Source organism: Homo sapiens, chromosome 12 (assembly GCF_000001405.40).
Source record: "Homo sapiens chromosome 12, GRCh38.p14 Primary Assembly".
Taxonomy (NCBI): domain Eukaryota; kingdom Metazoa; phylum Chordata; class Mammalia; order Primates; family Hominidae; genus Homo; species Homo sapiens.
In genome coordinates this window covers 42,388,274-42,403,993 of record NC_000012.12, presented here as the reverse complement: position 1 = coordinate 42,403,993, position 15,720 = coordinate 42,388,274, and the positions used below count along the sequence as shown (strand labels likewise).

At 37.0% G+C, this 15,720-nt stretch overlaps 1 protein-coding gene and 1 pseudogene across 41 annotated transcripts in view; both read right to left on the bottom strand.

Annotated features, from left to right (window-relative positions):
* The window catches only part of PPHLN1 (periphilin 1), a 122,455-nt gene that overhangs the window by 44,628 nt on the left and 62,107 nt on the right, over positions 1-15,720 (bottom strand). For 37 of the 41 annotated variants that reach the window (NM_001364826.2, XM_017019434.2, XM_011538459.2 and 34 more), the window contains 2 exons: positions 10,305-10,424; positions 5,000-5,140 (listed from right to left, as the gene is read on the bottom strand). In NM_001364826.2, coding sequence (NP_001351755.1) covers positions 5,000-5,140; positions 10,305-10,424 — 261 coding nt within the window. Of the gene's footprint in view, positions 1-3,508; positions 5,141-10,304; positions 10,425-15,720 lie in introns of those variants that run through there. The other 4 variants (NM_201438.2, NM_001364833.2, NM_001364828.2 and 1 more) reach the window with 1 other exon arrangement.
* On the bottom strand, positions 5,343-5,444 carry RNU6-249P (RNA, U6 small nuclear 249, pseudogene; annotated as a pseudogene).

Here is a 15,720-nt window from a genome sequence, read left to right as displayed (position 1 = left end):
ATTATACCATGCCATTTATAAATGTCCTTACCATAAAATACTCAGAGACTAAAAAAAATTGTTGACCTAAGAAAACAAAATTGAGTAGCATGGGACAGTAATTTGGAACCACTAGGTAAAATCCTTACCTAACACTGGTAGAGAGTGGATGAGGAGAAGAGGTAAGAAAATGAAGCTTATACTTGGGTTTATGCCATGGGGATTACCTTTACTGGAACTGCTTTATAACTGGGTATTTTTTGTTTCAGTGGTAACATCCCCAAGGATAAGGTGCAAGATGGCCTCATCCCTTAAGGTACTCATATCATTTTAAGTATGGTTCTAATAAGACTTGGTATCTGTACTATCTAGATTTTATATTTGATGTAAATATAACATCTTAACAGATTCATCAAGCTTCCCACTTAAAGAGATATCAGGTACAAAATAACTAAATTACCTTTAAGAGATGCTTCCTTTTAAATATGATACAAATTATCTTATAGAGATAGCTTTTAGATTCTCTTAAAATAAAAACTTTATACTTTTACTTCAACAAGCTTCTGCAGTAACAGCATGACCAGAATCTGGTAAATTGTAACTTTCAAACTCTTTGAAATTTGGTCAAAATAAATCATCTCTTTTCAAGTTGTTTTGGGAATCCAGACTTTCAGAGGTACATCTTATGTGAGTATATTTTACTAACTGTATGTATGTAAAATCTGAACAAGTGGTTGGTAATAATGGATTGTTAAATACAGTAGGGTAGACTTGATGTCTAGACAAGATAGTGGTGAGAGCTGCACTTTAAAGAACATTGGTTACTTGCTCTGATAAAAAGGAAAAACAAAGAATGTTTCTATTATGTAAGGTTACTATGAAATGCTTAGATCTTGAACCTACAACAATAGATACAGCTGCCACTACTTTGAAAACAATTTCATTGGAATGCATCATATGCTAAAAGCTGATTATTTTCCATGTCCACAACTCTAGTTAACATTTTCAAGACTGTACATTTCACTAATCTTTACTTCTAGCCTCTTTAAATGTAAAACAAAAACAGATTATATATGAGAAACAGCAAGAGCTAGTGAGTGTTGGGAATCATCAGACAATGAGTAGTAGCTGAAATGAGACACTGTAAGAAGAGAAAATGGCCACAGCTACAACACTTACAATTAAATCTAACACCCTATCTACGGAAGAAAACCTGCTCTGCACAATTCATTAACTCAACAAATACTAATTACTGACTGACACATAACAGTGGTATATTCGAAGGTTATTTAAAAACTTATTTTAATTTAAGAGCCCTGTGTCCTTAAGAAGGTTTAAAAAAAAAACTTAAAATTCTATAGTTAAATATGAAATTACTACACACAACTGTGTACAGAAAAAGTAATATTTAACTTTTAATTTTCAGTATGATTTAGATCAGGAAGAGACCTAAGATTATTCAGCCCAACCCTTTTATTTGGAGGGAAAAGCGAAGAAAAGCTAGTAAAGTAGCCCATATAGTCGCACAAATGGTGATAGTACGGAATTCAAAATAAAAAATATATTAAGTAGATTTAGACTTACAACAGACTCTTAATAAAGCTAATAACAATCAACAAAATAAAGTCTGAATTAACTCAATTTTTCTTAGCTAATTGTAATAAGGAAAGGGGTTCCTAAATGGCTAAGAAGTAAAGTTTCACATAACAAAGCTGGCATAGCTATGACTATAATAAAAATTGTCTTTACAGAAACAAAAAATATTCAGGATAAGTGTTTTGAAGTTAAAAGAAAGAAAAGAACACCAAAATAATCAATCCCTTTCCCCAAGTGTCCCTGATTACTCTATTTCTTTATGTTTAAGAACCTCAGAATGGGCCGGGTGCGGTGGCTTACGCCTGTAATAGGTGGGTAGATCTCTCGAGCCCAGAAGTTGGCGACCAACATGGGTAACAAGGTGAAATCCCATCTCTACAAAAAATACAAAAAAAAATTAGCTGGGAGTGGTGGCACACACTTGTAGTCCCAGCTACTCAGGAGGGTGAGGTGGGAGTATTGCTTGAGCCTGGGGGGTGGTGGCTGCAGTGAGGTGTAATCGTGCCACTGCACTCCAGCATGGGCGACAGAGTAAGACCCTGTCTCAAAAAACAAACAAATAAACAAACAACAACAAAAAACACCTCAAAATGGTACCTTCCCTATAACTAAAATGATTCCTATCTATATTTTAACTATAAATTACCTGATGAATATATAATCAGCTCTTTTTTCAAAAGATAGCATACTTATAGGCAGCAGACACCAACCTTTTTGGCAACAGGGACCAGTTTTGAGGAAGACAATTTTTTCCACGGAAGGAGTGAGAGGGCACACAACCTAGATCCCTCGTGTCTGCAGTTCACAATAGGGTCTGCGCTTCTGTGACAATCTAATGCCACCACTGATCTGACAAGCAGTAGAGCTGAGGAGGTAATGCTCACTCCCCTGTCCTCCCTCCCCCCTCCCCATGGCCACTCACCTCCTGCTGTGACGCCCAGTTCCTAACAGGCCACAGACCAGTAGCGGTCCACAAGCCCAGGGGTTGGGGACCCCTGCTTATAGGTAGAAAAATAAACATTTTCATAAAACAGCATTATATTAGGAGAGTGTTCTGAAAGAGCCAAAGAGGTTTAAAAACGAATTCATGGTACTTGTTCTTTTCTCATTTATTATCTACCAAATAAAAATAAAAAGAGAGAGACTCGTCCTTCTACAGATGGCAAGTTTTTGTAATTTGAAGAGTATAATATATTTAAAAAATATTTTCAGGCACATCCCTGCAATTGTTTTGGTTTAGGCTTTATTAATTGTATTTACAAACACAATTTTTAAGAAAGGTTGACGGTGACTGGTACAAGCAAGAAATTAAGATTCTCTGCAAACTCACATTCTGATTACTCTCAAACCTGGCATGTGACATCCACAATATTAAACCAAAAACCTCCCAGAATTGTTCATTTTAAATGTAATGCTTTACTCATTAAAAATATACATGCATATCTTTTAAAAAATATGGAGAAATCAGGGACTGTATTTGAAAACATGGTTCACAACAGATGTAAATATCTATTAATAATGGGCTAATATGGAATGATCTCTAAGAATACCGAACAGCATACAGAGTATAGCCACTTGCGTGCACGTGTGTGTGTGTGTGTGTGTGTGTGTGTGTGTGTGAAAGAGAGAGAGAGAGAGAGAGAAAGAGAGAGAGAGAGAGACAGGGTCTCGCTCTCCCCTGTTATTTCAATCAAGTTTTTCTACCAGTTACATTCTTAAGAGAACCTCTCCTTTTAAGAACTGCATCTTAGCACAGTGGCTCACACCTATAATTCCAGCACTTTGGGAGGCTCAGAGAGGAGGATCACTTGAGGCCAAGAGTTTGAGAACAGCCTGAGCAACAGGCTGTGAGATTCTATACAGTAGTTAGGGACTACTCGAAGGTCACTTGCAGGTTTATGACTCCACCTGTCATCCATCCAACAAGTATTTCTTTTTTTTTTTTTTTTTTGAGACGGAGTCTCGCTCTGTCGCCCAGGCTGGAGTGCAGTGGCGGGATCTCGGCTCACTGCAAGCTCCGCCTCCCGGGTTCACGCCATTCTCCTGCCTCAGCCTCCCAAGTAGCTGGGACTACAGGTGCCCGCCACTACGCCCGGCTAATTTTTTGTATTTTTAGTAGAGACGGGGTTTCACCGTTTTAGCCGGGATGGTCTCGATCTCCTGACCTCGTGATCCGCCCGCCTCGGCCTCCCAAAGTGCTGGGATTACAGGCGTGAGCCACCGCGCCCGGCCACAAGTATTTCTTGTAAGCCTGCTACACATACTGTTCTCGGTGATGGCAGATGTAGCAGTAAATAAAACAAGATAAAACAAAGCCCTTGTTTTCACAGAGCATCCATTATGGTAAGGGGAGAAAAGGAAATAAAAACATGTCAAGAAAAAAAAGGACAGTAATTTTATATAAAATAAAGACATTCATCTTTGTGTTAAAGATAGATATACTGAGCAAACCTTTTACTTATGCTCTCATTTAATTGGTATCTTGAAAGGTACCAACTGCCTCCCAATCACCAAATTAAACAGAATTTTCTCAGTCTCCATTTTCCTTATATTCCTCTAAGCATCTGATACTGCTCACCACCTTCATTTTGAAACTCCAATGGTTTGCATGACAAATTTCCTATTCTGGTTCTTATCTTTTCACATTAGTGTGACATTAACATAAGCTACACGGTCACATCTAGGATTTGAGACCATTCCCTATCCAACAAAAGGAAACGGATTTAATTGATGTAGAAATCGGACAGCACCTAGAGAAAAGTTTTCACTTTGTTCTTAATTTCCAATAGGTTTTAGAATATTATTATCAATGTAATTACATTTATTCAACGCACTAGAGAGTAACAACATCAATAAGCACCTGTACAAAATGTTACATTTTATAAAACCCTTTCACATTTACTTCATTTAATCCTCATAAAATGAAAATAACCCCATAATAGTTGCACATTAAAAACAAAGTCCTGCTTTTCAGAATGACTTCACTAAAAAACTAGACTTAAATAGTATCCTTTATTTTTCCTTTAATATTTGGAAACTACCTTAAAGTATAATGAAAAAACATAAGAAACATCTGTAATCCCAATATTCAAAAATAACATTTGCTAACATTTTGCTACATTGAACATTTCTTCCATCCCATCCCTATTAACTTTAATAATTTTTAATTGCTTCATACTAACTAGAATATTAATATTCTGTAAAAAAGAAGTCTGTTTTTTATTTAAAAATAAACAATCCAGGTGGGGGACCATACTGATCAAACTGACTGTGAAGTCAACTCAAACAATTTTTATAATTTTTTAAGTTGTAGTTTTAGAGTTACAGGTGGAAAAAGAAATGAAGCATATTTATTCAATAAATGTTTACATGTGCAAAGCAACACAAACAAAAATTATGTACATGAAGACAACTAGACTCTCACCTGTTCAATCTCTTTGGTTTTTGATGCTATTGCTTTAGAGCGAGTGGTTAGCTGACTATCTTCAAATAATTCTATCCCATGTGTTGTGTTTGACTCAGGTTCCTCTGGCTGGTCAGTAAACAATGGTGCTGTGGATCCCGCCTTGAAAAGGAATTAGAAATCTTTAATTATTTTCTTAAAAAACATAGAGCAGTTCAGATGGTTGTGTATAGGCACTAACTGGCAAATTATATTAAGTGCTAGATTTAACATGTTTTAAGAAAAGAAAACTCTCTCCATTTCACTATGCATAATGAGCATATGTGAAATGGATTAAAGAAGAAATGACTGCTACTTTTTTTTTTTTAATATGGAACACTTCATGAATTTGCGTGCCATCCTTGTGCAGGGGCCACGCTAATCTTCTGTTTCATTCCAATTTTTAGTGCATGTGCTGCCGAAGCAAGTGAGGCTGTTACTTTTTAAATTTTAGGTAAGACAAAGCCTCTAGGCCTATTCGATTCCAAAATATTATTTCACATTATATTAAGATACAGATAAAAAATTATTGTCCCTTGACTATTCCTTAAGTGATCAGTTTACGAAATACTGAGGAGAAAAAGTCCAAATGGAAGTGAGAGGTGTTGTACACAAATAAAGAAATATATTTAAAGGGAATATGAGAAAAGGCTGTATTTTTAGAAGTTAAATCACCTTGCTCCTGTAGCCTAATAATTCACTGAAATCATTAAAAAGAAAACCCCACAAATCAATAATGATCACTTCAGTTTTAGACCAATAATTAAAAATGAATAAATATACTGTGAATTATGTCTAAAACGGTCAGGTGGGAGATTAAGTATTGGAATACATATATGCATAGACTGTCTCTGGAAGGACACTACAGAAAAAATTATCAAAGGAGTTGTCTCAATAGTAACAACTTAGAAGAAGTAGCAAAGAAGAGCCACATTGTAAATACTTTGGTGTCATTTGAATTTCTGACACATACATGTATGATCTACCAAAAAAAAAAAAACCCGAGGCAGGCGGATCACGAGGTCAAGAGATCAAGACCATACTGGCCAACATGGTGAAAACCCGTCTCTACCAAAAATACAAAAATTAGCTGGGTGTGGTGGCAGGTGCCTGTAATCCCAGCAAGAGAATCACTTGAACCCGGGAGGCAGAGGTTGCAGTGAGCCAAAATCACACCAGCGCCACTGCACTCCAGCCTGGCGACAGAGCCAGACACTGTCTCAAAAAACAAACAAACCTAGTTTTTTTTTTAAAGAAGTTTGAGTTACATATGTTAAGGGACTTATACCAAAAGCATAAAAATCATTTAAGAAAAGAATTCCACTAGCAACATTCTTTGTAAATTGCCCAGTCACTGGTGTTCTGTTACTGCAACACAAAACTAAGACATAGGCCTATACACAATATGTAAAACTAAGACATAGGCCTATACACAATGTGTAAACTGGTGAGCAAAGAAAGTACAACAGAGAAGACAGGAGCTTTCAGAAACAAAAAGCAAGTGAAAAAGGGGAAAAAAAACTGACAGTTAATTTAAAAGAGCTCATTAGTAATTAAATGTATTTCAATTAGATATATATGTCCGAGGTACTGTACAGAAAACAAAGCAAGTGTTTGAGATACATTCAACATATATCACTAGGCAAAAAAATTAAGGTCATCAATGAAATATAAAGTGGCATAAAATGTTATAGTAGGTAGAAAAGTGGAATCAAGATCTTGAGTTGTATTATCTCCAACACTAGTGATTCCACTGAATGAGTATAAATTTGAAAGAGAGCCATGGAAGATGGTCATTCTAGACTAGGGACAGAATAAGCACAGACATTGAAGCCAAAAATAACACCCTATATGTGAAAACAACATAAGTCGTAAATTTTAAATTTTTCCTCTACAGCAGGAAGTGACCTGTTCTACTGAGACTTTTTTTTTTTTTTTTGAGACTAGGTCTTGCTCTGCCACCCAGGCTGGAGTGCAGTGATGCAGTCACAGCTCACTGCAGCCTCAATCATCCAGAAGCAAGATCCTCTCACCTCAGCCTCCTGAACAGCTAGAACTACAGGCACATGCCACCATGCCCAGCTAATTTTTTGTGGATTTTTTTTTTTTTTGTACAGATGGGGTCCCACTATTTTTGCAGGTGTAAGCCAGCATACCTGCCCCGCTGTCCCCATTTCTTTTTTTTCTGAGACAGGGTCTTGCTCTGTCACCCAGCCTGGAGGGCCATGGTGTGATCACAGCTCACTGCAAACTTCAATTCCTGGGCTCAAGTGATCCTCCCACCTTAGTCTCCTGAGTAGCTGGGACTAAGCGGCCACCACACCCAGCTTTTTTTTTTTTTTTTTTTTTTTTTTTTTTTTTGTAGTGACAAGACCTTACTACATTGCCCAGGCTGGTCTGCAACTCCTGGCCTCAAACAATCTTCCTGCCTAGGTCTCATCTACCAGGACATTCTAATATCCTTCAAACAATTTTCTTTTCATTCTGACAACCAAAAGAAAACTCTCACAGCTATTTGTTTAAGGACAGCAAATTATATCTCTACAAAACTTGACTGCAACCTTCTTGATGGCTAGGATGGTACCTCAAAAGCAATGTCTGACACAAGTGGATATACAATGCATATTTAGTGAATTTAAATAAACTATAAGAAAACTAGTACAGTATTTTTTAAGTGTGCCTTAAAACACTAATCCTGAAATACATGCTGTGAAAAAAATTACATAGTCAAAAGTTTGGTAAATTATGCAAACTCTTTTATTATCCTCTTACTGAACACCGATGAACATATTAATAATAAATTAAAATCTCTAAAAAGTGCTGAAATATCAAAACCAACCTAACTCTTTTAAACTTAGCATCTCAAATAAACTGGCTACTAGAATCTTTTTTTTTCTTCCTCAGACCATTAAGACCCTTCAGATATGCTGTCAAATACCTTGGGAAATGCTGTAGTAGAGCCCAGAAGATGAAAGTATAAAACTGAAAAGTGGCAGGAACCACAACATGCCTGAATATTTAAGTATATTATTGAATTTACCTTCAATTTCACTGGACTTTCTATGAACTACACGTTTTCCCAAACAAATTGCTTAGAACTATAATGAGGGCAGCAAGTGAAGACAAGGTGGAAACTTAAGCATTCATTCTATCTATCTCAGCTCATAATAATGAAATTTACACAATGTTTCTGAAGTACATGAACCATTACTTAAAAGGCTCATATAAAATAAAATATTGCCACAATTAGATTTAAACAGACACGCACATGCACACACACACATACACAGTACTTTGCCAAACTCTTGCTTGGCATCAAAGGCCTTTCTTCTTTCCAGGCTATTCTGTCAAATTAGATATCAGTTTACAGGACCAAGGCCAAAATTATATTTCTCAAAAAGCACGGACCACTGAAATGAGTAACTATTTAACAATAGCCTGAGAACAAATTAGCAAAATATTAATAAGCTAAAGTATTAATAAGAGAAAAATATTAATATGATATGGGACTAAGTTTACAAAAATTATCTCAAAAATTTCCCAAATGATTTCCAGTACGAAAAAGTATCAATCTAAGTAGAAAAATATTTTAGAGAATGGGATGAAATTGATGCTGCTGTTCAACATTAATGACATACAGAAATAAACATATTATGGTTATCAGTGCTACTCTCACATATCTTGCCTTTGATCCAACAAAAGAACACGTCTGACCTATGACTCAACTTACAGATTTTTTTTAGGGTTATTTACTTTTCATTAATTTGAAATCTAGCGAATTCTGAGCAAATTTTAGAGGAAAAAAAAGATGTTTAAAAAGTCTTTCTAGATCCGAAGTCACTCATGGATTATTCAGTGTCAAGATGCATTCAAGAAATGAGAGAACCCAAGCAGAATATTTAAATTTGAGAACAGTAGTGAGCTTTTATAAAAACCTGAGATAAAAAATGATGGGAGAAGGGAGGATAAATATACTATTAATGTTCATAAATTAATAAAGCCTTGTTAATTGGAGATGAAGTATTAAGAAATTATTCTTTTTGAAAGTTTTTGGTTCCATAAAACAAACTACCAATATTCCAAAGCAGCAATTTTGAAGCATAAATATCAATGATTAATGTAGAAACATTATTCTAAATTATTAGAGAAAATAACCAAAATAATCCAATTAAATGTATTACTGAAAAGTATTGTTCATGCTTTTAAATAGTGCTGGAAAAGTACCAAGAAGGAACAGCTTGGTGTTTTTGATACATTTACTGGAGAATATGCATAAATATCTATTATTATAGCTACAATAAGGAGGAAACCTTGACCCACTTAAGAACAATCGATATCTAAAAGACAGATCAGCATTTTTAAAAAGAAAGGCTCTATTTGCGTAAGTTCTGATAGGGTTTATACTTTTTATGAGCAGTGTACATTAGTTACTTTGGAAAGGATCTTTTCACTGTATAAAGATGTAGTTAAGTATTATTTTTACATACAATATCAATGCTTGATCCCTTTTATCAAAGAACATTCTATAAAAGTCATTCCAAAAGTAAATCAAAAAGCCAGAATGCTCCTTCAAATAAAAATAATTTGTCACGGGACGGATTTTTATATTCTCTACCTGTCATGTCAAAGAATTCCTATAGTATCAAATCCTGAATCTAAAAGCTTAATTGTGACCACAGAATTTCTATATTTCCCTTTTAGAGATGTTACAGTTTATACAGAAATTTTTCAGTTCATTTCAAAATATGTTAATACAAACGTGTCATAAACCTTTTTCTATGGTCCCAAAAATGTTCCCATCTTTCGGTATTCAAGACTCATCAAGGTCTCGGGTTGCCCAGACAATGAATAATTTTATTTCTTGGGATATTTATGAGATAATCTGCATGAAGTATAACAAGCAATATAAATATGGTCCACAATCCAAGGTCAAATTAGATTTCTGTTCTGAATTCACTGGTTTATAACTAGTGGCTTAGCATGATTTCCTGAGATACTTTTAACAGCAAAGCCCATTAAAAGAAGTATATAAATAACGCATTTTTCTTATACTCCATATTTATACTATTCTTACACACCAAAACTACAGGAAACATTCAGACAAAGCGTGATTACTGAATTCAGAGTCATTCATATTCTGACTATCATTCTGTGTGGTAATTTTAATACCTGTAATCCATAAGGATATATTTTGAAGTATAGGAATAAACCAAATATTTTTCGCCCATAATTTAAAATCCAGACAAAACTTTCAGATGTGAAACATAAAGGAGACATTATGCCTTACCTCATACTCAGAAATTTCAGGCAAGTTACTTTCATCTGATTTCTCTAGCTTTTCAGCAGCCCACTTGCTTGCAGCCTCAGCAAGTTCCTTTTCAGTTAGCCTACTGGGTTTGTCTAACACCTAATAAAAATAGAACATTTCTGTTACAATTCTCAAGGGCTTTTAAACTTCAAATACACCAAGAAGTACACTCCACTTACATTTAAAATCATATAAGCCTCCAAATTTCTATGGAGAACAGGTACATTCTTTATTTCCTCCTTCAAAAATATTCAACATGGAATTACTTTAAGTAGCAATTCCTTTGGGACATATAGACCAGATCTAATTCTTAATTTCATTTACATAAGACTCTAGAAATTCATCTAAGTAACAAAGCAAAAGACACTGACAATTAACTCATATAATAATTATATTTAGAATATAAAAGACATCATACTGATTTCAACTTTGTGCCTTTAAGCATATTTAATGAAATAAGTAATGTCTAAATTTCAGTAAAGCAAACTCCTAATACAACAGAAACGTACAGATATGCTATTATTACAGTGTACAGTGAGTTACATAAATCCTACTCCTTACACAAAATTTTTAAACTTAAATTTCATTTTTTGATCCTACTACTAGTTCCTTTATCTAACTGCACACAATACTAAACAAGGTATGGACTTTGCAGTTATATACAGACCTGGCTTTGAATCGCAGTTTAATGACTTGCTAGGTAGATGACTTTATACACCTAACTTACGACACCATGAGCCTTGGTTTCTTCATTTACAAAATAGGGGTTAATAATGCTCACTTTGCAAAGCAGTTGTGAGAATTGAAGGAGGTAATAGATCTGGAAGTATCCACAATAATGCTTGGTACCTTAGTGTTTCTTTCTTTTCCATATTCACTGATGTGAATCTATTATACTAAAACATATCTGAAAATCAATCAGCCAATGGGCTCAATATAAAAATGAAGAAAGTAAAATGTCTTTTCTGGATCAGATATAATTCCCCCAGTACTGTTTAAAGGCTTATTTTGTAAATAAGATATGAATTGTCAAGCACAAATTTAAAAATTATTTCCTTAGGGCCGTTAAGGTAATTCTCTGATTCCATTCTACTTCCTTGGTATACATTTTCATCAGCTTTGCCCTGCCATGCTTAGTTGCATAACCATCTCTTCTTAAAAAACCTTCTATTACTAAGCTTTACTTCTCTAAAGTCACATCACTGATTCCAAATATACCTCTTGTGGATGACAGTGCTGGGCACTGAACTTATGGGGCACTACCATTTATAAAGTGCTTTTATCTATGAACCAAAAGAAGTACTTTAATTAAATAGAATTCCATGAAGGTGATTAGAGAGGCTTTATTATCCCAACTCATAAACTAAAAAACTGAATGATGGTGACCTGCTCAAAGTCATTAATAAATGCTGAGCTGGGACTTAAATCTAGGCTTTTTTGGGAGGGGCGAGGGGGAATGCAGTCTCACTCTGTCACCCAGGCTCAAGTGCAGTGCCGCGATCTCGGCTCACTGCAACCTCCGCCTCCTGGGTTCAAGCGATTCCCCAACCTCAGCCTCCCGAGTAGCTAACAGTACAAATGCGCACACCATAACCGGGTAATTTTTGTATTTTTAGTAGAGACAGGATTTCACCACGTTGGCCAGGCTGGTCTCAAACTCCTGAGCTCAGGTTATCCGCCTGCCTCGGCCTCCCAAAGTGCTGAGATTACAAGCATGAGCCAACGTGCCTGGCTTAGACATTTTTTTAACTGAAAAGGTCATTTGATGTTTTTCTACACCTTGTTAAATTCATCAAACTACTGGCTAGCCATCTACATTTACTGGAATATTATAGCAATATATCTATATGAAGTATATTCTACAGCCATTGAGGAAGCTTAAACAGCTCATTCCAAAGCCGTGTCCATATATAAGGTTAAAAAGGTATTATAAGTAATACTTTTATTATTACTCAGTAATAGAAGGTTTTTTTAAAAGCTAGTTAGAAGAAGAAAACACATATACAAACACAAATATATCCAAGAAAGTTGTTTTTTTTTCCAGGGGGTGAGGGGGCATACCTATTTAAGAGAAAATTAAAGAGCAAAAACAATTATATGACTTCTCTCTAGCAAAGAATGAAGCAGCTGGGAGCAGTGGCTCATACCTGTAATCCCAGCACTTTGGGAGGCTGAGGCGGGCGGATCACCTGAGGTCAGGAGTGTGAGACCAGACCAGCCTGGCCAACACGGTGAAACCCCATCTCTACTACATATACAAAAATTAGCCAGGTGTGGTGGCAGGCGCCTGTAATCCCAGCTACTTGGGAGGTTGAGGCAGGAGAATTGCTTGAACCTGGGAGGTGGAGGTTGCAGTGAGCCGAGATTATGCCATTGCACTCCAGCCTGGACGACAGAGTGAAACTCCGTTCTGCCCTTCAAAAAGAATGAAGCAAAAGCCTACTATAACTTATTGTCATTCTCTCTGCACATTCGAAAACCTATCATTTGAAACTAACAAACTCTGAAAAAGTATCCCAACATATGGGCAGCCATAATGTTACATCAAAGAGTTCACCAAATCAGGAAATCTAGCTCATAAAGCTCCCCACAGCTACCATGTGACCTTGGGCAAATCAAAGAGGGCGCTACCTTCTGAATATGTAAAATAACTATGGATCTAAAATTGTGATATTTTGATTCCATTTTAAGATTTTATAGTCTGGCTAGGCACAGTGGCTCACGCCTGTAATCACAGCACTTTAGGAGGCCAAGGTGGAAGGATCATTTGAGACCAGGAGTTTGAAACCAGGCTGGGCAACATAGCAAGACCCCATCTCTATTTTTATATACAAAAAAAAAAAAAAAAAACTTCACGGTCTGTGAAAAAAAAAATGCAAACATTTACATCAGGGGCATCCAATCTTTGGCTTCCCTGGGCCACGTTAGAATTGTCTTGGACCACACATAGAATACACTAACACTAAGAATAGCTGATGAGCTTAAAAAAAAAAAAAAGGAAAAAATCACGTAATGTTTTAAGAAAGTTTAGGAATTTGTGTTGGGCTGTATTCAAAGCCATCCTGGGCCACAGTTGCATGTAGATCAAGCTTGATCTACATGAAACTATCAGACAAAAGTAGTTAAAAATTCAACATGGTTGTTTTCCACTAAAACTTTTAACATGTAGCACAAAACTCTATGTTGTAACTTATATTCAGATAGCAGTATATTTCAGAGAAAATATTTCATATATAATAATTTGAATTTTTGTAGTGACTTTGATAGGCAGGTACTATTTACTCTTCTTTCATCTATTACCTGACATGAAAACCAAGGCAGTGTTCCAGGTGGGTAAAGCACCCTTGATATGTTTAAGACAGAACCATAATCCAATTGGTCTTTGCTATTCAAAATCCAGAATCCCAGAACCCTCAGACTTCTGGGAAAGTTCCAAAGATACAAGTTGTCACAAAGAAGCTGTTTTTTTCCTCCTGAGGCAGGGAAGCAGCTGCCCCCCAGACACCCAGTATATACCGCTAGGTGATATCTACTCTTCCTAAAAAGCCAAAAAGTATAAAAGGCAGAATGAAAAGAAGTAAAGCAGGTAACAGATGTAACAACCGTTATGGCTAAGAGAAAGGGTATGATATCTGTGAAGAGAACTTCTAACTGGAGAGAACAGATGGAAACAGCAACTTGTCAAGTTTTTAATTTCTGAGGATTTATGTTTTGAGATGCTAGAAAAGTAGGAATGAGAAGAATGGTATAGTGAGGGGTAGCTATGTCCTTAAGAAATTAATAACTCCTGAGCCCTCACTCTACTATAGAATAGAGATATGTACCTACTAAGATTTCTGTATGAATAAAAGAAAAAATACACCATACATGTTAGGTATCTGCCTACACTCCCAACTCCCCAAATAAAAGCACAATCCACCAGATATAACCCATCCAACCTGCTTATGGTCAAGATGAGAATATGGGTTGCAGCAATAAGTACTAAATTTGGCATAGACTGTGTTAAAAATTCAGTGAGAAAACTGCCCATTTTTCCTCATAGAAACTCGGGTTGCTATTTTCAAGCTGTGGTTATTTAAAATGTAAGCGGTTTTGTTTTTTGTTTTTTTGAGACAGAGTCTCGCTCTGTCGCCCAGGCTGGAGTGCAGTGGCGTGATCTCAGCTCACTGCAACACCCGCCTCCCGGATTCAAGCAATTCTCCTGCCTTGGCCTCCCAAGTACCTGGGACTACAGGCACGTGCCACCACACCCGGCTAATTGTTTTTTTTTTTGTTTGTTTATTTTTGTTTTTGTTTTGAGACGGAGTCTCACTCTGTTACCAGGCTGGAGTGCAGTGGCGTGATCTCGGCTCACTGCAAGTTCCGCCTCCTAAGTTCAAGCCATTCTCCTGCCTCAGCCTCCTACGTAGCTGGGACTACAGGCGCCTGCCACCACGGCCAGCTAATTTTTTTGTATTTTTAGTAGAGACGGGGTTTCACCACGTTGGCCAGGATGGTCTCGATCTCTTGACCTCATGATCCGCCTGCCTCGGCCTCCCAAAGTGCTAGGATTACGGACATGAGCCACCACACCCAGCCAATTCTTTGTATTTTTAGTAGAGACACGGCTTCACTGTGTTAGCCAGGATGGTCTCGACCTCCTGACCTCATGATCCACCCGCCTCAGCCTCCCAAAGTGCTGGGATTACCGGCGTAAGCCACCATGCCCGGCCTGTTTTTATTTTTCAGAGACAGCATCTTGCTCTGTCACCCAGGCTAGAGTGCAGTGGTGCAATCATAGCTCACTGCTGGCTCAACCTCCTGGGCTCAAGTGATCCTCTCACCTCAGCCTCCTGAATAGCTAGGACTACAGGTGCATGCCACCACATCTGGCTAATTTTTAATTTTTAAAATAAAGTCTTGCTACGTTACCAAGGCTAGTTGTGAACTCCTGGCCTCAAGCAATTCTCCCATCTCATGAAGGGGTGGCCTGCCCCTCCACACCTGTGGGTATATCTCGTCAGGTGGGACGAGAGACTGAGAAAAGAAATAAGACACAGAGACAAAGTATAGAGAAAGAAAAGTGGGCCCAGGGGACCGACGCTCACCATAATAAGGACCTGCACCAGCACCGGTCTCTGAGTTCCCTCAGTTTTTATTGTTATTTTCACTATCTCAGCAAGAGGAATGCAGTAGGAGAGCAGGGTGATAATAGGGAGAAGGTCAGCAAGAAAACATGTGAGCAAAGGAATCTGTGTCACAATTAAGTTCAAGGGGAGGTACTATGCCTGGATGTGCAAGTAGGCCAGATTTATGTTTCTCTCCGCCCAAACATCTCAGTGGAGTAAAGAATAACAAAGCAGCATTGCCGCCAGCATGTCTCGCCTCCTGCCATAGGGTGGTTTTTCTCCTATCT